Source organism: Homo sapiens, chromosome 2 (assembly GCF_000001405.40).
Source record: "Homo sapiens chromosome 2, GRCh38.p14 Primary Assembly".
Classification (NCBI taxonomy): Eukaryota; Metazoa; Chordata; class Mammalia; order Primates; family Hominidae; genus Homo; species Homo sapiens.
The window spans coordinates 224969713-224994101 of NC_000002.12; the positions used below are offsets into that span (position 1 = coordinate 224969713).

The 24389-nt window shown below is 39.5% G+C and overlaps 1 protein-coding gene across 18 annotated transcripts in view; it reads right to left on the reverse strand.

Annotated features, from left to right (window-relative positions):
* Positions 1-24389, reverse strand: part of DOCK10 (dedicator of cytokinesis 10) — a 277379-nt gene that overhangs the window by 204623 nt on the left and 48367 nt on the right. For 12 of the 18 annotated variants that reach the window (XM_047444928.1, XM_047444927.1, XM_047444926.1 and 9 more), the window contains exon 1: positions 12495-12715. The exons of the other annotated variants lie outside the window; for them this stretch is intronic. In XM_047444928.1, the coding sequence (XP_047300884.1) occupies positions 12495-12656 (162 nt within the window). In that variant the 5' untranslated portion in view covers positions 12657-12715. Of the gene's footprint in view, positions 1-12494; positions 12716-24389 lie in introns of those variants that run through there. 18 annotated transcript variants of the gene reach the window in all.

Below are 24389 nucleotides of genomic sequence, written 5' to 3' on the forward strand. Positions count from 1 at the left end.
GGGCAAAAATGAGACAAAATAGGATGGCCACTATGAAAGAACCAACATCTTTAAGGAAATAAAAACCAGAGTGGAGGATGACACAGACTGAAGTGTCACCTTTAGAGTGACAGAAAAGCAGGCCGGTTTTAAAGCAAACCTTTAAACAGTCCCCTTTAACAACCACAGGCCACTTTAGTTTCATGCTTAATTTCTTTCCCTGCTCGAGGAGCCTCTTCCTTGTCTACATCTCTCCTTGTCCTTGATCCCTTTCTCTGCCTTTTGGCTCACTCATTTCCCCCAGTGGCTTTCATTTGGGGAATATCATTGGGTTCACTGGCTTTTTCACTGAGTCGTCTTTTTGAGCAACTCTGTTCACCTGATGAGTGTTCTATTTAATATTCTAGTTTCCTTATTAGTGGAGAACTGAAGGGTAGTCATGTGTGTCAAAACGTCTCCCCAGAATTAATCCAATCTAATAAACAGTATGTTTCTACTTGTAGAAGTAATTACTTAAATTTCTATGATGCAGGTGGGCAGCAGGTATTTTCCTCATTTTACAGATTAAAAAGAGGTGCAGTCCCTCAGTGATCCAGGCACTGTGATCAGTGTTTTTACTCAGTTTTCATTTAGATCATCACCAACAGCTTTGTGAGGAATCCCCACCATGCTGCAAATAAGGACACTGAGGCTCAGGGAACTCAGGGAATTATCCGAAGTCCTACAGTTCTCAAAAGGCACAACAAGCCTGATATCAATACCCAGATTTTGTCATTATATGATTCTGTTTCTGTTCTAGCACGACATTTCCGGATTCAGACTTCTGCAACATGACAGAGATAGATGTCTGTTCCCAAAATAGAATTCTATAAACCCTTCAATCCGAAGAGATTACAACAAAGTGATTTTCCCTTTTTTTCTCTTTGTTGTCTCTGCCGTGGGACCCATGAGCCCCCACAGTTGCATTCTGTATCTCCACAGCATCTGTTCTGCTCATAGCTTTACTCTACAGATTAACTTGAACTCATTATCTCTGTATTTAATCCTTAAAGAAAAGTCAAAAAACTAGTTTGGAGCAAGAATCCCTATGACAGAATTGGCTTTCATCTCCAAATGGATTTATTCCTCTAAGATAACCAGAAACTGGATAGGATTTGCTATGCTATTGACATTACTTTGTATTTTGTAGCTAGCATCTATGTAGTTTCACTTAAAATTCTGCACATACCTTGGAACTATAGCTCATTATTTCTGGATTAAGAGGAGGAAATACCATGTAGTTAAAAAGAATGTGGGTCTCATCATTTTGAGACCTGAACAAATACCCTTGCTCTGCCAGCAACTTTGTAGAAGCTACAGATAAGTCAATTTACCTGTTTGGGCCTGGATTTCATCTTCCAGTGAGGCAGCTGGATTCTATAATATCAAATTTCTAACATTTTATTCTATATAATCTATATTAAAAACCCTGACTTTTAAAGAGAAGTACCATTTGAGCAGAATAATGCCACTGTATTATTGGATATTGAACAGAAAAATGCCACTGCAAGAGATCCCAGACCTGAGTCAACAGAGACACGGAGGGCAGGAAGGTGCAGTGGGAAGAGGGTGTGGTTGGGTTGCAAGAGGGGAGGGGAGGTGGGTGGAGTGAAAGAAGTGGGCATGGCCAGATTGCAGGTGAAGAGAGGAGAGGAGGTGGGTGGAATGGGAGGAATGGGCGCGGTTGCACTGTAGCAGGGTGTGAAGTGAAAGAGGTGGGTGTGGCTGGGCTTGCAGGGAAGGTGGCAGGTACACATTTGCCTAGGGCCACACCGGATGGGTGACTTTGGACAAATGCAGTAATAGCTACACCTCATAGTTCAATGCAGCCACCACTAGCCATAAGTGGCTATGAAGTCCTTGAAAGGTGGTTAGTGTGACAAAGAAACTAAATCTTTAATTTTACTTAATTTTATTTAACTTTGATTTAACTTTAAGAATTGATTATTTTATCTAGTAACTGGAAAACATTTAACTAGTTTTGGAGAAACTTTGGAATATGAATTTACTCTTTCAACTATAAATTTTATGAAATCTGAATACTGAACAAATATTTGTGATTAAAGATTTAGCATCCAAATTGAAATGTGTTATATGTATAAATGTACACCACATTTTGAAGATTTGGCGTGAAAAAAACTATGAAGTATTGTAATAATTTTTATATTGATTACATGCCAACATAATAATAGTTTGGATATATAGGTTTAAAGAAAATATATTATTAAAACTAACTTAATATGCTTTTTTTCTTTTTCAAATATGGCCCCTAGAAAATTCAAAATTACATATGTGGCTTATGTTATATTTCAATTGGTCAGAGCTACTCCGTGTGCTTTAATTTCTTCCTTAACTATATTGGAACAAAAATCACAATATCCTTCAGAGGGACTGTGGCAACAAATAAAGAATACTGTGCAAAGTTTGTAGCAAAGTGACTATCAGAATTGGAAGTGCTCAGCAAAGAACTATTATTTTTGGACATTATTTCCATGTTCACTTCCTCCAATTATTCATAAAGCAGAATTTTAAGGTAATCTGTGGGTTACTCAGTTCTCATAAAGTGTATGAAAGCAAAGAAGGCCCTTGATTACCCAGTGACCAATATTAAGGATGCAGATAATCTACCAAATGAATCCATATTCTTTCCACCTAACAGATTCCTACTTTCTACCTTTATGACCCATAAGATATGGCTTGCATTCATTCATTCATCAAACCTTTGATTGAGTACCTATTGGTAGAAGAATCAAGATGCTGTAATTTTGCATTCTTAAGTTTCTTAATGATTACAAATCTGTAATAAAAAATCTACTCACAATTAAAAACACTGAGATAACTTTAAAATTACAAATGAGATACAATCTATTCTCCATCTCTAAATTAGTAAGTTCAGTTGTACCTACTGAACTTAAAATGCATTCTCTCTCACCTGATTTTCGACTTTTCTTTATGATTGTGGTGGTTTTAAATCCTAAACATTCAAGCTTTTGTTCCTTATAATTTTTAAATTTGGCACAATTTGAGAATGACAAAGTTGAAATTAAATGGTTAATTTCAGTTGTATTAAAGGCTGCAACATTCCTTTAATAAATGATGAAAGGAAAACAGAAGAAACTGAAAGTTAAATTTCGGAAAACTGGCAATTAGTGGATAACACAGAAGAGAACTCAAATAAACTTATGTTCTTTGAATAATCTATTTGTGTGAATAATCTATTCAATAAGTATTTCAGTGCTCTCATAAATAAGCTAACTTTGAATTTCCATTTTTACACATTTTATGAAGCACAAAGTAAGTTTCTGCTTAACAGATTCTTTTTTCTATAACAATTCTTTAAAGTAAATTAAGTTTGTAAATTTTTCTTTGTTTCAATAAGACAATATACACAATAATAATAGCTAAAACTTAGTGAATTCTTAGCAAGTGCCAGGCACTCTTACAGGCCCTTTACTTGAATTCACTCAGTGAATCCTTAAACAACCCTGATAGATAGTATGGTAGGCAGAACAACAGCCCCTTAACAACGTACATGTCCTAATCCCCAGAACCTGTGCCTATGTCATTTACACAGCAGAGGGTAATCCAGGCTGTAGATGGGAATCAGCTAACCTAGAGATGGGAGAGGAGCGTGGATCAGCCAGGTGGGGCCAATGTAATCACAGGGGTCCTTACGAGTGAAAGAGGAAGGTGGGAGAGTCAGAGATCAGAGTCGGAGAGTCGCTGGAAGACACTATGCTTCTGGCTTTGAAGATGAACCAGGACCACAAACCAAGGAATGTGGGCAGCCTCTAGAACTTGGAAAAGGCAAGGAAACAGATTCTCCCCTAGCACCCCGAGAAAGGAATGCAGCTCTGCCAATTTTAGCCCAGTGAGATCCGTTTCAGATTTCTGATCTCCAGAAATGTAATACACGTGTTTTAACTGTAAGACAATATGTGTGTTGTTTAAAACTAAGTTCGTGGTCATTTATTACAGCAGAAATAGGAAACTAAGGCAGATAGGCACCCTCACGACTCTCATTTTACAGACAGGGAAGCCAAGGTATACAGAATTTAAATAGCTGACCCAGAGATCACACTGCCAGCAAGTGCTTTGGCAAGTGACTCAGACCCACACACCCTGGTTCCTCACCCATGGCAATGCAATGTAAATCAGGGCTGGCATGTGGCATTTTCTCATGTGGTTTCTGGGTACAGAGGTTTTTCTGTTTCTTCTTAGCATCTATTTATTCTCCAGGTCTCAGCTGCATTGCCACTGCCTTAGGGGAGGCCTTCCCTGACTGATTTGAGGAGGTGCGATGTCCAAAGGATGCAGTTTTAAGGTAAGGTAGAATGCAATTCTCAGGGAAGTACTTATCATGATTACAATTTTCCATTTGTTTGAGCTCTGTGTCTGCCACCAAACTGTAAGTGCAGGGCAGCAGCAGTCTATTGTCATCTGTGCCTACCAAATGCAAGGTGCAATTGTCTCAGTTGTTTATTGAGTTTCTGATGTTTAGACAATCTAACCATGACAAACTCACTGCATGCAAATTGAATGTATTGGGCATGGTCTTAAAAACTAAAATACGTTCCAGCAGAATGAAATAGATTTGGAAAAATGAATTTCAAAAACCCTAAGCTTTAGCCCCTATCAGAGTAAATCAGTTCCATGAAAATAAAATCTGAGAATAAAACAGCTATCCACAAGAAACTTATTGAAGGCTGACAAAAATACTGTATTTATATCTGGTTTGCCAAAAGACACATTATATCCTCAACTGTATTACTCAGTTTTCACAAAGTTTTATTATATTGAAGCCTGGCGTTTAGAGAAAATCCTAAAAACTACTCTTCTAGAAGGCAAAGAAACAAAACCCCAAACAAGCATACCAGTTTTTTTCTATATTTGATTATGTTTTAAAAATTAACAGACGTTTTATTAGCAGTAATTTGTTGGAGTCTATACTTTTTCTAGCCATAAAACTACATGTTTTTACTTGGTAATATGATGTTTTTCATCTCCACAGTATGATTTCCCCCAAAACACGTACATCCACTAAAGGTATAATGTTCTCTCTATATATATCATATATATTATATATATAATATATATATATTATATATAACATATACACACACGTATATATGAGTATATATACGTGTGTGTGTGATATGTATTTATCTATAGCTCTATCTACATATAGTTGAATTTGCTTTGTTTTTGGTATAAGTTTCTATGTATCACCTCCCCCAATCACCACACCGATACTTGGTTTTCCGATTTTCTTTATCACTGTGTTGGTTTTAGATTTTAAGCTGTTTTGATTTTTCTTTTTAGACACTGTGTATTTTTTCTTTGCTTCTAATCATTTCTAAATTTGGTACAATTTGGAGAATTAAAAAGATGCAAGATTATCTGAACAAGATGATACAGGGCGTAATTGGAGTTTAGTAAGCCTTTACCTCGAAGATTTATGTTGCTAATTACTAAGGCTCTCATTACATTCAATTAATTCTCATACCCAGAGAGAAGCCATTCAATTCATTTGTCCATTTTCTGTGGCTTTGGGATGCAACTCAAAATTAGTTCACAAGGGAAAATACCTCCAAAGATTCTATGTGCTTTAAAGCTCCATGTTATACCCATTTATGGTAGACTGTTTAAACTCATACTCCATGACACAGGCTTTCTTTCCCAGGGGAATCTGATAATATTCATATATTCAAGATTCAACCTCACTGAAATGAAATAGAAACATTAGCTCAGGATTTAGAGATTCTGGAAATTGTTTCTTCTTCATACATATACTGAAAAAGATGAAACTGGGCAAAACATGTTAACATTCTTTGATAATAAAACTTTGTTAGGTTAGAATATTTACTATAGGGATAAGAAGAGAGTCAATTTATTTCCTTTGGAGTAGTTTCCATAGTTTCCATAGTATGTCCCTCTCTGGTCCTGATTGTATTCATAGGACACAAATTAAACAAATGTATGTTCCAAAGATATGGAATTACTGTTTTCATAAATAATTCATTTCCTTCATTTAACTTGCTTCCTTATATGAGGTTCTCAAAGTACTTGAGCAGGAAAGAAGAATTATTGTCTTCTACAAGTGGGGGACCCGAATGTGGGGATTTGCTGAAGGTCAAAAAGCAAATCAAGTAGAAGCTTGATAACACCCTCACTGGCCTCTCTTGTTCACTGTACCACCTTTTTTTGGGTGTGGAACAAATACAGTGAAATCCTAATGTAAATCACCTCCCTATATTGCTGAGTGAGTTACCCAGGGGATACAATGAATTCTGACCAGCATACTGTGGATTTCTTATAAGCCATGTGAGCCTGCCGACCTGCAAGACTCCATCGCTTTATAATGTGAATTAGTTTACAATGTGATTCTACGAAAGTCACAGGAACAGAAAACCAAACACCACATGTTCTCACTCATAAGTGGGAGTTGAACAATGAGAACACATGGACACAGGGAGGGGAACATCACACACCAGGGCCTGTTGAGGGGTGGGGGGAAAGGGGAGGGAGAGCATTAGGAAAAACACTTAATGCATGCAGGGCTTAAAACCTAGATGATGGGTTGATAGGTGCAGCAAACCACCATGGCACATGTATACCTGTGTAACAAACCTGCACGTTCTGCACATGCATCCCAGAACTTAAAGTAAAATAATAATAATTTAAAAAGTCAATATTCTGGTGCTTCCAACAGACAGGACAGATAATAGTCCCCATTTAGCCAACTAGGAGAAATGAGTCAGCATGTCTAGGTTATCTGGGCTTTTATTAATATTAAGTGACAGACTTGAGACTCTGACTTGAAATCTAGAGTTTCTCAATCATAGTAGTTCTCAGACCCTCAGGTGAACAACAGGTACCCAGGGAAAAAACCAAGTTCCCTGGTATCTTGTCGGGGATAACAGAAAATACGCTGTAGAGGTCAAAGTTAATTAAAAAAAAAAAAAAAAAGGTTCCTTTGTGGTTGAGGCCACGTCATTCACCAGACAGGGGTCAGTAAGCATTTTCTGTAAATGGTCAGAATACTTTAGGCTTGGTGGGCCATATATGGTCTCTGTATCTTTTGCCCTATGCCACCCTCTTCCTCCTTCTTTTGTTTTTGGTTTTGTTTTGTAACATTTAAAACTGTGAAAATCATTCTTAGCTCAAGCACTGTATGGCTGCAGGCAGATTTTGACCCACAAACTGTATAGTTAATCAGAGTGCTGGACCGAGCAAATTCTGAAGCACCAACAGAGAGGACTTGTCAGGGAGGTCTTGGAGCAGTAACTGCAATTCCCTTACTCAGAAATGTTTGCCATATAAGTGCACACATCCTTGACTCACAGAAGAGATTTCACCTTCCCAACTCACCGCAAATTTAGGCTATTGTTAATTTCCTGCCTTAGACGAAAATTCAAGACAAAGCCATATTTGGCTTGCTGTATATGCTAGATCTTTGGCAGTCCTAAATTTAAATGTTATGGTTTCTACTATTTCAGAGAAACCCCAGAATGTTCATGGATTTTAAAGTTTTTTTTCACTTTTGAGTTGAGACCTGTGAATCTGGTGTGTGGGTATTGGTCATATAACCAAAGTGAGACTAGTAGCCTGACCAACACTTGCTTTTCTTTCTCCTCTTGTGCCACCTCTAAACTCCAAAGTGTGAACAGAAAAACATTCTCTTTCGGGGGAAGGGGAAAGAAAAAGACTTAAAATGAAGCTAACTTCTGGGGTTGGTGATGAGTAAATGACATAGGAAATAATAGACATTAACCAGAAAATAGTAAATCTACATAAATTGAATTAGTGTCTGAGAACTTTAAGAAAATATGCTATAAAGGAAGTAAAAAAAAATTATGAAAGTTTCTGTTAATTCTCCCACCAAAAAGTTTTTTTGAGTGAGAGATAAAATTAAAGCTTTAAAGGAATTTCTTCATTTTTTCCCCGTTAAACTTGACTGCATCGTAACAGGCCATTGTAATGGTCTCAGATGTCAGGATTCATGTGTTTCTTTTAAATAAGAATCTACATTAGTTAATTTTGATATTTAGCAATTTCTCTCCACTTTGGACTATATAGGCTAGACTACAATTATGCCAGCCCAAATCTTATCTCTGCACAAAGATTCAGAACCTAGACCACAGGAATGAGACTCTGATACAACTTCCATTATGAAGTTTTGAATGCCAAAGCCTTCTGAAGGGTATCAATATTCAAAGCCTTGTATTTATCCTGGCAACTTTCTTCATCCTTAACTCACTCTTGGACATTTCAATTAAGAGTTAAGTGGGCATCTTTATCAACTGAATTTTGCATATTAGTGACAACTGCTTAAAAATATCAAATAATCAACAGATCCCTATTTAGCTTCGATGTAAAAGGCTTTGGGCTGGGTACTAATGGAGCAAGAAGGAAGCTTAGAGGCTAGGTGTGGTGGCTCATGCCTGTAATACCAGCACTTTGGGAGGCTGAGGCGAGTGGAACACGAGGTCAGGAGTTCGAGACCAGCCTGGCCCACATGGTGATACCTCGTCTCTATTAAAAATACAAAAAATTAGCAGATGTGGTGGCACGTGCCTGTAATCCCAGCTACTTGGGAGGCTGAGGCAGAAGAATCGCTTGAACCCTGGAAGCGGAGGTTGCAGTGAGCTGAGATTGCACCAACACACTCCAGCCTGGGCAATAGAGCAAGACTCCGTCTCGGAAAAAAAAAAGTAGGCTTACTTTCTGCCTTTGAGGGTCAAGGTCAAAGCAAGGAGAACATTAATTAGGAAGCGATTGCTCTGGTAGATGGAATTTCCTGTCTACCAGTGAGATAAGAAAAATATGTGATCAGCAAGTAAATAAACAATTATACATTCAAGTAAATAGGCAGAGATGTGTTAGAAGGTAATGCGTGATTAACTTTCAAATGGATTTATACACTATAAATATTATAGGAGATTAGAAGAGAGAAAGATCATTTATCAATCGGTTATTGATGTTTACATTGGGCTAGGCTTTACTCCTCTTTATATAGTTCCTTGAAACTCCAGACATATATGCAACTTCCTACTTGACATCTCCATCTATAGACCTAACAGGGATTTCAAACTCAGCATCCTTAGGGTGAGCTTAGATTCTGTCTCCAAACTTTCCACTTCTGTGTTCTTTATCTGAATGGCAACTTGGTTCTTCTGGATATTCAGGCCATAACAAGCACAGTCAACTCTGACACCTTTTCCTTTCCCACACTTTATATTCAATCCATAGGCAAACTCTATTGGTTCTACTTTTGAAATCTATCCAGAATCTGACTACTTTTCACAGCCTCAACAACTACCATCCAGGTCTTTGGGATCATTGCAACCGCTTCCTAATTAATGGTCTCCCTGCTTTGACCCTTGACCCTCTATGGCCAGAGATCCTGTTACTTCCCTGCTTCAGGACCTCCCAGTTAGTGGGGTTATAGTTAATATAACACTCACTAGTTACCAGTCAGTGTTTTAAGCAATTTGCACCTATTAACATACTGAATTCTCACAATAACCTTACACCGGTAGGTACTGTTACTTTTTACATTTTATCAATGAAGACACAAAGACACAAGGAGGACAAGTCATTCATCAAGATCACACAGCTAGTGAGTGGCAGAGATACAACTCAAACCCTGACATTCTGGCTCCATGGCCCAGGCTCTTAACCTCTGGGCCTGCTTCTTCCAGTGGCTTCCTTTCTCACTTGGAAAAAGCCTAGGTCTTCCTGATAGCTGTGTGCCTGACATGATCTGACCCCATTGCCTCCCTGACCTTGCCTTCTACGACCCACTCCTTGGCTCATCTGGACACACTGGCCTCCTTTCTGTTCTTCTAACACTCCAGGCTTCTTCCCACATTAGGGCCTTTCGCCTTGGCGGGTCCTTCTGCATAAGGCATTTCCCTGCTGAAAGTGGCATGGGTCATTCCCTTGACTCCTTAGGGTCTTTCCTCAAATGCCACTTTTCAGTTAGGATGTCCCTGATCACATCCCTATTGAACGTCTTACCGTTACATCCCGGCACTTTTCTAAGCACTTAACACTTACTTTATCAAACCCATACAACTGCTCTAATTTGATAAAATTTCTATCCTCATTTTATAGGAGAGGAAAAGAGACACAGAGATGTTAAACAGCATGCCCAAGGTCACACAGCTGATAAGTGATGAAGTCAGGATTCCAACCTAGGTGTTCTGGCTCCAGAGTCTGTGATCTTATAAAAAAAAAAAATCAATATACAATACTTGGTGACTAATGGGCAGTGGGAAAGTGAATAAAAAAGAAAAATCAAAGTTTGCTCAGAAGTTTAGAGCCAGAGTAAGAAGACGATTAGCCAATATAAGAACATCACACTGGAGGAGGAGAAGGGGTGGACAGTTTAGATTACCATCTTCCAGAGCCATGTTTCTCAAAGTGTCATCCAAAGTACTCCTTCGTCAGAATCAACTGGGAGTGCTTGCTACAAGAGCAGGTTCCTGAGCTCCACTCCACACCTTCTCAAACAGAGTCTTTGGGGTCAAGAGCTCAAGGATTTGCATGAATGAAAACTCCTAGGTGATTTTGAAATACAATAAATTTTCAAACCACCATCTTGGAAAACAGAAAATATTTTCATTGGCTAAAGTTTGTAGACTAAGTGTCACAATTGTAGTATAGCATTTCCATAACAACAACACTGGCAAAATGTTCTATCACCTTCAAACTTTGCAACTTGGGGTAGGGACTTTTGATGGGTTTGTTCATTGGCGGATTCCAAGTGCCTGAACCAGTGCTTGGACCATAGTGGGCTGGCAATAAACCATTAGCGAGTGTGTGAATTTTGGAGTGGCCCAGAAGAAATTTTCAAGATGCACAATGACTTTGTATGAGCACATTTTACTCAGAGTAGTCCAAGATTTCCATCAGACTTCTTACATAAATTCAGTTTATCGGTTATCATTATTTCCTTAGAAGTGTGAACAGACTGGAAAATACACTGGCTTTTGGAATCATTGCTCTAAGTGTGATTCGGGGAACTGGTATTTAGCAGCTGTGTAATGTTAAGATATTCAACCTTTCTGAGCCTTTATTTTCCTCATTAGTATATTCTTATCACCTTATTTAATATCAATAAAGGTATTATATAAATCAAAAGGATCCTTGGAAAAATATGACTAGGTGAATAGTTTTTAAAAATTTCTCAGTTATTTTGAGGTATAAGGTTTTTTTTTGCAAATTTCTAGCTGTGAAATTTTATAGACTAACAAAATTAGAAAAATAAGACTTACTGGTATAGCATGAGCACTACACATAGTTAAAGAGTGTGTTAATGTTATTAACAAGAGTTAAACTTGGAAAACAAAGATTTCTTTGACATTTGAACCTATTTCAAATCCTTTAAAATTTAATTTGTGAAAACTTATGGGAATAATAAACATGAAATTATTCCTATTTACTGTTTCCTTTTAGAAATAATCACAGCCCCCTAGTTCAAGAATAATATTGCTTTTTGAAAATAAAATATTGATTTGTTGAAGAAGTAGGCAAGTAATGTTATAGTTTAGTATTCTGTCACTCAGAGGCATAGCCCAAGCCAAATGACTTTCATTTAAGAACTTTTAGAGTAACAGGTATTTTTCATTCATTATTTACTACATCCTTGATATCTCAACATTGAAATCTAAGAGAAAAAAGTCGATTATGCTGAAGCCACCTAGACTTCAATGTCTCCTCAATTTTGGAAACTTTACCATACCATCTATTCTAATTTTAGTGACTAAGCAGATCTCTTTTTAAACTTAAAGAAAGAAAGAACTCTACCCTCAAATTTATTCTTGCTGATCAAACAGATGCACAAAAAAGGAAAACATTGTTTATTACAATTAAAGCACAGACAAAAATGTAATTTGACAAGTGGCAAGAAAAAGCTTTCTAATGAAAACACTATGCATTCTACAAAATTCTTAATTCTTTATTCTAATATTGTGCCTAAGTTAGGCATTCTGGAAAGGCATTTCCTTTGCAGAGTCAGAAAGAAAAGCCCCAAATATCCTGAAGTTAAAGATCCAACTATCAGCATCTATACAACTTCAATGGTTACATGTGATTTTTAAAAAACGCCCATTTTGGGCTCTTCTTTCAAATTATAGTTATAAAATAAAATCCACTCACTTAAACCAAACTCCAAATTTTTCTCTTATTTTCTGCACAAAAGGTAATAACAACATGCAAACCATGAGGCAGAAGAGAATTTCTGGTAGACCGAGAAGCTGTACAGTTTCATGACAGATACAAGAAGAAGAAAATATGCTCTTTGAATGATAGAAATAGTTCCGAAAGATTTTCCCCAAACAGTACTTCAGAGTAGTAAACTCTAGGTCACACATGCCTTTATCTAACGCTAAACACCAAAACCCCTAAATTGTAACCTCTCTATAATAACAGTTCAATCCACTGAGGCTGCTTTACCACGGATACCATACCATTATGATGAGGGTTCTGGGTCTATTCATTTCATCGTCACTTTCCAGAGGCAAAATTTCGTGGGATGGTTCCTCTTGGCGTCGTCTACAAATGTGTGGACAGCTCCTCTGGACCACAGAACGAAAAGCTTGAAGCAGAACAATGCTGGCAGTGCAGCCCATCGCTGCATCCTGGAGCCTACAAAATAACTTCTATGTTGATGCTATGTTTGCAAAACAGTGGCTCCTTGTCCCTGAAAACAGCCTACACTGCAGCTGCAGCCGGCTCACTCTCCAATCACTTCCTTGAGCTCTGATCATCTGATCATGGCCAAATAGCTTGGATGCAGAGATGGGAAAGATTTGATCCACGGAAACTGAACACACTCAGGAATATTAGAGCACTGCGCTCAGAAAGTATTTCTCAATTCACATCGAGAGCATGTTTCCTGTTCATTACAATGAAGCTCTTCGATTCTCCTTTCAGAGGTCTGAATAAATATGTCTTTCCCATTCAGACACACAAATAAATTACTTTTTCAAATCACACAACTGAAAACCTGACTTTACACTCACAATTTTTCCTGAGGTATCATGTAAGGAGTGAAAATGATTTTTTTTTTTATAAACGTAAACACTTCCTGAAGGAAATTTTGCTGGACATCTCACTAAGTGATTGAGGTTTTACTTTTCATAGCTCATAAGTTCCAGAAATGAAACTGGCTTATCTGAAACATAGAGTTCACTAGATCAAGATGATTTAACCAAAGTATGCACGCATTAACCAGCCCTGAGTGAGAGACACCAGTGTTCCCCTGTGATTTCCTCTCAATAGTATGGTTGTTCTGTTCCCACACATGCAGTTCTGCAGCCTAATACAATTTTATATTTACATACGCGGCTTGCAGGGCTGAAAATATCTCTATTACTGAGGTCACTGAGCAAGCTCCGCCAAGCTGACCTCTTAGAAAAAGCAGCTGTAAAGCATTTTAACATCCTATCAATAAGAATTCAAGGCTCTGGGAAGGACTTTGAGGTCTTTGGTAGTTAAGAGTCTGGTATTCCCTGACTCCTGCGAGACTAGTCACTTAGGAAAGAACCAAAGAGAGATGCTTAGAAATCACGTGTCCTTTCTGGAATGGCCTCAACATCTAATGGTATAGTGAAAGGGAATAGGGCAGCTGGAGCTGCTTGCGCTAAAAATATCTCATGGAAAATAGATTTTGCTTACAAATGAGGAAAGTATGAAATCCCCAATAGAATTCAATCTTGAGATCTTTCTGCCAAGCTAATTCTTCCAGTGTAACTCTTGGAGATTCAAAGAAAAAAAAATGTTTTCTGTGGTTTCTGGGCTCCTCGGCGTGAAGGGTGCTGCAGGAAGTTTGAGGAAGGATTGTTTTGCTGTAACGTGTGGCCGCCCCAGCCTCAGTGAGGTTGCTTTCGCGGAAGCATCTAGCATGATGCTCAAACAGGCATTAATTGCTCAGTAATCTGTCACAACACAGCATCGTTTTAATTGGTATGTTCACCCCAGAGAAGTAAAACATGCTTCTTTTTCTTTTAAGAAGTACTGGCTGCCAGTAGTTTTTCATCTCCCTCTGTTTTGAGCAAACATATTTTAGTGCTGCTGGAAAAAGAAGAAAAAAAATGCTAATGATGCTGGCAAGTCCCCTAACTCCCTCTGGACATTTGTCAGACTGCCCGGGTGCTAATCTAAACCATTTTTACTCTAAACAACTAGGGCATTTACTGAAGAGAGGCTACGACTTAGCCTGTCTGGCTTGTGTGTATTGAATATCTATATCTAATGGTGTCCACTTGAGACAAAGGGCAGAGTGGGCTCCTCTGTTTGTGAATGTGTCTTTTCAAATAGGACAGTTCCTCTGGGCTCCCTGTATGGCAGTGCCCACCCCCACCCACTTACTCCCATCCCCCAGGACATATCTCTCTCCAATCACTTCCGTAGGTTGTGATCATCTGCTCATGGCTGCGTAGTTTGCAGGCAGCAAGCTGCTAGCTGGAAACGCTTAAATAGTAAACCAGCCCCAGTTAGAAACTGGAGAGAGAAGACAGATCCCTCCGCTATCCACCATGGGCTTGGCAGGCACGATGCACTTCACATCCTAAACTCCTCTCTAACCATCTCTCTCTAAATCTGGCTGACCTCTGCGGTGGCTTTTGGAATCAGATGTTTTGGCAGATGCCAAAGTCTTTAGGGAGACAAATGAGATGCTTTCTAGCTATTACAGTCCCGCCTTTATCGATCCCCTCTGCCTCTGAGGAATTCACCCCTATTATTGACGGGCTGCTGACAGGCTCTGAATATTCTCTCTCTCATTCTGTCTCCTCTCTCTGTTAGCCTCTGTTATCAAGCTAAAGGAATGTCCAAGGATTAGTTTCTTTGGAATTCAATACACACAACCATTATCCAGTGGACAAGAAATAAAAAAGATGAAACGCAGGAAAGAAGAGTTGAGTATGTTCTCCAACATTTTCTCATGAAAGATTCCAAACATGTAGGAAAGTTGCAAGAAAGGGTTTGGGTTCTGAGCTCTATGTTTTACATAGCAAATTAAGCTAGAGATTGGGTTGGGTTGTGGGAGACACAGAAACCTACCCAGAGGCCATGTTTCTGTCATATGACACACAGGAAACTTTTTTTTTTTTTTTTTTTGAGGTTGAGTTTCGCTCTATCGCCCAGGCTGGAGTACAGTGGCAGGATCTTGGCTCACTGCAACCTCGGCCTCCCAGGTTCAAGTGATTCTCGTGCCTCAGCCTCCTGAGTGGCTAGGACTATAGGTGTGCACCACCACACCTGGCTAATTTTTGATAAGCAGGAAATATTTTAAGATTAGGTATAAACTCTTCAGCAGGTGTCTGCTATTTTTATTTGAACTATTAATAAGATGAATCATTAATTTGGCCTCCAAACATCAAATGTGCACGGCCTTACTAATAAATGACCTTTGGAGATTCTTGTTCACTCTCTTGTCTGCCTTCTTCCCCTAGTAGGGTCTTATCTTATGATTCAATAAGGTATTTATTAAACCTAAAATGCTAGAAACAAGATTTTTAAAGTAATTGTCTTAGATTAGGAAATAATGTCACTAACAATTCGTAAGGCTAAATTTTCCAAAGAAGTGTTGGAAGCTAGATTTCATCCTGGGTCATTAATTATATATTATATTATATCATATTATTGTATGTTATTTCATATATAAAAATTTATTCAGCACTTATGAAATCTTAAATTTGTGTACAATAAAAAATGTTCTTGTTTCAAAGCAGAGATAGCCGTGTTGTGTAGACTGTAGTAGCCTTAATGCTCATAGGAAATGGAAGGAAGGATGGAGGGAGATGTTTTTAACATCTTATTGACCAGGGAGAAAGACATGTAGGAAGAAAAAGTAAGGCATTTCAAGAGAGTAAAAGGAGGTTAAGGAGGAAAAAAAAAAAGAGAAAAACGAATGAAGGGACTAACAAAAACCACCAAAATCGTACTGAATCCTAGGAGGATACTGGACTCTGCCTCAGGGGTCCACCTACCCAGCTGTAGACTGCCCATCCTTCTTCAACAAATCTTGACTAATGAATTTAGTTTTCAGAGCACTTTTCTAAAATCTTTTGGCCTAAGAATGATTTGGCTGTACATGTTGATATATCCACCACTGGGATAATATGTCCAAAGACCTTTTTACAATGGGCAAGGAAATACACATTTAATTTAAATAAATAATGTCCATTGAAAGTGTTGGACCTTCCCAGCTTTGTTAAATTATGTAAGAGCCGTGTGTCTAAATCTATATATCTAATCTATTGCAAAATACCTACGTCTGTTTTGACCGTGTCAAATTGGACTGTGCTTTGGCATGATGGAGGTGAAGCCCACATTCTTCTCCTCCCCAAAAGACCTGGTGCATCTGAGTCTTCTGACACATAATGCTGACCTTGGATGGGGAGAGGTTTTCTGCTATCCTCTATAAGGCATCAAGTACACGGAAAACTACTGCTGCTAACAGATGCTTGTCTTGTAAAAACAAAGATGAGCTTAGATAAAATATTTGAGAAATAAAAAATTGAGAAATGAAGCCTAACAAAATCAGCCTCAAGGGCTTTTTGGATATCCCTGATGCTATGCAGCTTGGTTTCATTGCTTCACACACTGTGAGTTTCTGGTGGGTCCATTTCAGGATCCTAATAAGGTCATGATCAGAACTTATTTATAAAGATAAATTTATGGAAAGGCTAAGAGTTTAAGGGTAGAATTATGTCCCCCCAAAATTCATATGTTGGAACCCTGAGCGCCAATGTGACTCTGTTTTGAGATAGAGCTTCTAAGAAAGTAATAAGGTTTCATGAGGTCATAAGGGTGGGGCCTTCATCCTCTAGAACTAATGTCCTTATAAGAAGAGGAATAAACACCAGCTCTCTCTCTCTCTCTCTCTGTCTTCATGTGTGCACAAGGGAAAGGCCATATGAAGCCACAGTGAGAAGGTGCTATTTGCAAGATAGGAAGAGAGTCTTCACCAGAAAACAACCCTAAGAGCACCTTGATCTTCAACTTCCAGCCTCTAAAGCTGTGAGAAGATGAGTTTCTATTGTTTAAACCACCTAGTCTGTGGTGTTTTGCTAGAGCAGCCCTAGTACCCTAGCAGGCCAATACAAGGACCTTGCCTGGGAAAACCATATTCTAACAGTGAAGCCTCAAGGGAATCATCACCTCCTCGGAGAAAGGCTCTTAATTCCCCCAGGTTGAATTAACCCCCGCCTTCCTCCCTGCTTCCAAAACACAAATGTTCAGGAGTCACCTTTGAAGTATCTTTTTGCTGCACCTGCCTGCCCTCTGGCCAGCAGAACATGGTTTCCGCATTTGGAGTCTGGAGGCCCTGACTTCTAGCTCAAGGTGGTGCGTGGAGTACATTTTTTTAGCTATCTCTTTCCCCAAATCCAAGTGAAATGACAACAAAGCAGTATAAAGGCAATATATTGATTACAACAAAATGAGAAAAGGTGGGAAACTTTTTCAGCAAAGAGAATTTTTGAGCATCTCTGAAGAATGAAAAGTGAATTTGATCACATTGATTAATAACTAAAAATGAAGTATTTAGGAACAATTTACAGGCACAGCAAGAGGATACAGCAGATGGCAGCCATTGCTCACAACAGGGCCCAAAAGGGGCTCCAAGCTCTAGAAAGTAGGGGCTGAATGTGAGAAAGTAACTGGATAACTGCCCTTGGACCCTGTTCTCAGCACAGATAAAACACTAGAGCACCTGTCACCAAATACCCCAAGAAGGGCAAATACTTCCAGAATACCTAGCATAGGTGTCAGCACCTCAGTGGAACCCCTCACTATTTTGGCTTTGGCCAGTGGGGATGGGGTGTATATCTAGTTGGCCTGCCAGACTGGCTTACATATCTGGAAATGAAGACTGCAGTTGGTGCACCAGTCAACCTAACAGCTTGTCCACAGGTCAGTCTGACCAAGTGAAGGAGAGGATTCAAATGTTCCTTCTCTCCCTGATCCCAGGGCCAGAAGGCAGAGTATTCTAGCTCCCCAAACTAAGTAGACCTCTCTTAGTTTGGGTTAATTTACAGTGAGACTGACAGAACCTACAGTCAATATGGACTGAGCATCCTGGTTCAAGTCTAATTTGATGCTTGTCCAAATGACAGCCTGGTGGAAGAGGTGGCCAGCAGAGCACAGTAGAAAAGCTCACAGCGAGCTTCAGAGTCAGCCTGACTCATACGAGTCACCTAACCTCTCTAAGCCTCAATAGTATCTGCGGTAAAATGGAGATCATCCTTTACACTTTCAGGATATTGGTGGGAAGAGATTAACTGCAAAGACCAACATAGAGCCTGGCCCATAATTATTCAGTGAACAAGCGTGATGCTGCCTCTGCTAGGGTGATAACAGAGGCTTGGTCTCTTCCCTCTCAGCTTCCAGGATCAGCTTAAAGGTGATACTGCCCTGGAAAAGCCTCCCCTAACGGGCATTGCTTCACAGCCCTGAACCTCAGTCCTTATCACGGTACCCTGTAGGTTTCCTTTCTAACACACCCCTGTAATTACATCCTGATTGATTTAGATTTTAAATTGTCTTCCCTCTCTGTAAGACACAGGATTGTGCTTACCTTGTTTGCTATATATCCAGCACCCACCTTGGAGTACATGCTCAATGAATAATAATCATGATGATGATACCCCTAAGAAAGCAAGCCCTTATAGCACTCGCCATGTGCCAGGCACAGTGCTAATGAATATTTATGCATCGGGATACATGTACACCTCCCTCTATGAGGCAGTGCTGTGATCATCCCTGTTTTACTGTTGAGGAAACTGAGGCACAGAGAAATTAAGTGATTCCCTCAGAGAATCACAGCTAGTAAGTGGCAGAATCAGAATTAGAACTGGCATGTGGCAGGCGGTAGTGAGGCAACCCTGGAAAATTCCCTTTGAGAGCTGGTCTGTCCCTCACAGGAAAGTCTGTGACTTTTTCTTGGATGACAGTTTCAGAAACCAGCTAACAATTGAGCAGATTGTTTTAAGGTGATGATTTAAATTGCATTTTGGTAGGAATTGAAACCAGTCTTTAATGAATTTGATAAACGAATTTTTTTAAGGTGCTGTGTTTACTGTGTGAAGTGTTCACTGGCAGCAGTGACTTAACTGCCTAAATTGGCTGTCAAAGCATATATTTAGAATACAGAAACGTAATGGGCTCCCTTTATCATTACTTGCTTCCCCCTACATGACATAAAATGTTGGTGAACACCAAAATGCCCCCAGAAAAGAGGCTACTTTGGGTCCAATTAGAAAGAGGAAAATGAGGCCATTACCCCAGGACACTCTGTGAGTGTGGACTTGGTTGCCCACGCTGGAAGAGCTGCCACTCACTCTTGAATTCATTGGAGGCTGATCCTGGAGAGTTGGCTGACAGCTCAAACATGTCGCTGCTGCAGAGGGAACCAGCCACTTTCCTTCCTGGGCTAGTGTGAGGACCTAGGGGTGACCATCAAGTTGGTGGGAGCTCAACTGCCTCGCAATCTTTGTTTCATCTTCCTTCTCTACCACAAGTATTCTCTGTGGAGTCATGTGATGGGAAGAAACATGGGGACCAAGGCATAGGGTAGGAAACCTCCATCTGCTGATTTAAGCTGTAGCACTGCCTTTCCATGACAGCTCAGAAATGATTAGTGGAATGAATGAATCAACAGATAATAAAAATCACAGCATCATTGTCATCATTATCATCTTCATCATCAAGCTCTTAATCATGTTGGACTTTTTTTGTAAATTTTCCAGAGGCTCAGCAATTGTTCCTAAACAAAAGTGACCCAAAGGAGGAGAACACCTTAGATTGAAAGTGGCAGGGGATTTTGCCCCCAGTCAGTAAAACCAGGTCATGGGATTTGGTCATTTTCCAGGGCAAGATTAGTGAGAATCTTCTTCCGTGTCTGTTTCCAGATGGGTAAGCCCCCCGCCAGGTCTGAACTCAATTAAATGGCTAGGAGGGAGTTAATCAGTGCCTTCTCAGCTGAAAAGTGGAAAACACAACCCAGTGAAGTCATTCTTCCTAGGACCCAGTTAGTTACCCTTTATCAAGTTGCATCTCTGCCCCTCCTACTGCTACCTCTACTCAGGGACTTGGGACTTAAGTTTATTGTGATAGTAACCCCTGATCTCTTTTTATCCCCCGACAACTGTGATTTCTAGAGACCTTTTCCTTCGGTTTCTCTGTCTTCATTTTCACTTAATTATAGTGGCCTCCTCTTTGCAGGCATCTTTCCCGTGTGCTGACATTTATTGAGTTGTACAATTAATCACTTTGGAAAAAAGCACACTGTTCTTTTGCTTTAAAAATCAGGTGCTGCTGCCAAGCTTTCCTTTATTTTCATTTTTCTACCTTTGGCATTGATGCAGCTCAAAAGCAGATAATTCTTTCGTTGGTACATTTGGATGCATCGGAAAATTATCTTTCATTGCTCTCTAAGTCAGCTTCCTGCAGAGTGCACGGATAATTTAAATGTTCCATTAATAACTTACCTTTCTCAGGCATCTATGTTTGATTGAACTCTTCTCAGCTCATACTAAACCTTTCTTATTTTTAATAAAGTGTAGTATAGTGCGGCACTTAGGCATCAGGAAGCAGTTTGCCAAAATGTAAATCCCTGTTGAGCTGTTTATTAACTTTGTGACTTTCAGCAAAAATTTTAAGCCTCAGTTTCCTCATCTGTTCAATGAATGAATATTAATGAGCATCTAATATTCACGTAAAGTGCTGGGTCCAGTACCAAACACATGGTAAGAATTCAACAAATTCTAATTATTACTGGAAAAGAGAAAATCTAAGGACTTTTAAACACTGCTTGTTTTCTCCCCACTTCCCCAGTAAGTAGTTTTTGTTGTAGTTGTTGTTGTTGTTGTTGTTTTTAAATCTCCTTACTCTTCTTTTCCCGGAGACACATAGTCTTCCCTGAGTGATGGGGGAATGGGTGTTGCATATGTCTCCTCTGTGCTTTGAAGTTAGCTCCCATGGTAATGTGACACAAGTTCTAAATCCCCTTCCCTGTTGTTTTTCATGAGTAAACAAATTTGAAATAATATAATAATACCTCACTTACCCTAAGGTCACTACTTTTGCAACATCAACTATTCTGATCACAGTCAATTCCTGAAAAGGGACAGAAACAACTTCTCCAGAACCAGAAAAGGATGTCACGTGATTCCCTCTATGAAGCTAATGGGAGTGGCTTAGTGAAGAGGTCTTTATATCCTCATGGTTAACACCGTTACCTTATGCAGGATTCTAAAGAGCTTGCTGAACTAAGCTCACAGTGACTTTTGACCAGAAGCAATATCATTCTGACCTGCCCTGGTCCAGCCAATTTCTACTGGAAGGATGTCCCCGGTGAAGGCAGGTGGGCTGAAAGCTTCTTCAAGGGGTTGTGGTGGGTCCAGCTATAAAGCCAGCCCACCAAAGACTCAGCCATCTGATGGAGCTGAGGCTGCATACATAGGGAAGGAATGAGGGTGAAATAACGCAGCCTAGAAAGTGATTCAGAGCAATGAGCATGAGTTTTGGAATTGAAGAGACCCACCTGTGTTTGAATCCTAGTTTTGTTGTCTTGGAACATTAATTCTCTGAGACTTATTTTCTCCATTGGCTAATAAGAGTAAGAAGAACCCTTCTACATAACTGTTGTAACAAAGGCACATAGTACAAAACACTGGCATAAATAGTAGGTGGTATCATTCTTTCACCATTATCATTATTACAACTATTTGTGTTATTATCATTGTTATTCCAAGTTAGTACCAAAGTGGGTAGATAACAGTCCTGCAAGTCAAGGCTCAAAAACAATAAAGTCATGCGGAAACAGTAACTCAAACAGAAGAGAGAGCCTTGGCACTGGAATGAAGTGGCAAGGACAAGGGAGAGGTGGGACAGAAAGTTTCCTTGACTTCTCTTCACCAGCCCATGAGTCCAGGGTGCATGGCTGAGTCAGGCTAACTTAAAGGTATGGGCCACCCACCAAAGGAAGGGACAGATGACAGACAATCTGAGAAAATGGAAAACATAAAAAAAATCAATATACACAGTATCTGGGACTAATCCCCGTTCGGGGCGGTAAACACTAGAAAGGTGGATATAAATTACAGTGTTCTACCCCAGTACAATGGGTGAAACTGATGCATTAGGGAAATGACTGATGCATCAATCACTGATGTTTGGACTTTATGGTGGGGGTGAATACAGGAGGAGTTGTTACTGGAATATATTCACAACAAGGACGCTAATGCATCAAGAAAAACCAAATTATGTCCAAGTGGCCTTGGGTTCAGGAGAGAGAAATCTGTGACACATTCTAGATAAAACCTCCAACAGCAACTGCTTTTAATTTTTAAAAGTTAAGTGATCAAATTGGGCAAATTATGTTGTCTTCAAGAGTTAGCTATGTGAAAAATATTTTTGGATGACACGGGATAAATGAACTATTAACTGTACTCTCTGTACTTGTTCTATTTTATTTTCTGTGTTCATTTTTCTCCCTTTGAATTGTGGCAGGAATTAACCACCCACGTCTTAAACATTCCAAGTTAAATCTAGTTTACAATAATCACGAATTGCTTTCCAAACATGAAAATGGCAGTCTTTAAAGTCATTTACAATGTTCTTTCCAAATCAATTTTAAAGATAAAAAGATAGCCTGAGCTCAATTTTACATTATTTGCCAGGACTCAGGGGAGTCGCCCAAAGTATCATTTTAGGGTTGGTGCAAAGCACCCAGCTCCAGGGTTTTGAAAGGAAACAGGGACAACCAAAGTTTAAGTCCAGCAGGAATAGGAGAAGTGGCAATATTCAGAAGATTAACTTGATAAGATAATGTTTAGCCTCTCTTTACAACCTCAAATGCAAGATGTGGATTCTTAAAGTTTTTGTTCCTATTATCTCCAGTTTGTGCTACTGACAACTGCAGTTCCCAAGAGGACATGTGCAGCCTTCCTTCTTGTGTGAAGAGGTGGGGAAAGCAGGGAATTGGCTTTGGGCTCTAACACTAATTAGGACTGCAGACAAGTCTTGTCATCTCTTTCTCTGGATCTAAGTTTGCTTGTCCATAAAATTAGAGGGTTAGAATAGATGCCATGAGTTCTTCTAGGTCTAGGATTCTATAGCTTTATCTAACAAAAAGATTCAGATAGAACACCAATGACCAGTGGCTGGACTTTAAGGTAGAGGTGAAGATAGGAGTTGTTGCTGGGATATACCACATTCCCCTATAAATATTTCTTTTGAAGGTTGTAGTAAACATCACCAACAGTGTCACAAAAGAGGTAGGAGCACTGAAAAATGAGGTGTAAGAGGAAAGAACTGAAAATCAGGCAGTGGAAGGAGGTCCTACCAAGCCCAGAACAGTCACCCCAGTTAGCTCTAATATGTAGATGGCATTGCCCTGTGGTGCAGGTTGATGGAAGGAATACTAAGAAGACTCAGATGGTCTTTCTTTGGAAGTTTTTTTTTTTTTTTTGCTGTCCAACAGACCTGAATTTACCATTTCCTGGATTTGTGGCTTTTTGGCAAATGATCTTCTGTTCTTTGTTTCTGCAGTGGAGAAATGGGAATGGTAGTCATGTACTGTATCAGATTCTTATAGGATAAGGAGGAGTAAATGAGATAATCCAAATGGAGCACTTGACACAGCACCTGATATATTGGGAAAACCCAGTGAAAAGAGAAGCTCTACTGGTTATGGGCTCAACTTGGGAGCATCCACAGTCCACAGCAGCTCACGAAGTGAGTCAACTGTGCCTTCCATTGCAGGGTGGCATTAGCAGTCATGGGAGAACAGAGAACCTCCTAAAGTGGGAGAAATCACTGGGCTCCCAGCATTTCAGATGAGAAGAATGCAAGACAGGATGCAGGATATTCATGTTCATCTTTTAGGCAAAGTATTGTTATCCTGTTTTATTTTCAAGCGTAACTGAATTCTGACTGTAGAAGGCATCCCCCTCCCTCCATCCCCAAGCCCACTCTGTCCCCTACCCAATGTGGCCAAGCTGACAGAGGGCAAAGCTGCAGTTCAAATGGAGATTGGCTCCAGGATTGCTGGGTTATGTGGGGGTAGGAGCCAAGCCTCCATGCTGGTAGTGTTTCTACCTTGAAAAACCCTTAAACCTGGTCAGCTGCATGTACTCTTGGGTCTTTAAGAATATGTGTGGTTAGGATAGGATCCTATTACATTTCTGAAGGGAATACAAATTATCTTAGGCAGTCTTGATAAAGGTCTTGTCCCCACCCAATATAGAGATGAAGAGAGGGCATATCCCATGAACATGCTTTGGGTTCTAAAACACAGCCTATCACTACATGTCTATGAATAAAAATGGTGACATATTATATCGCTTTGTAAT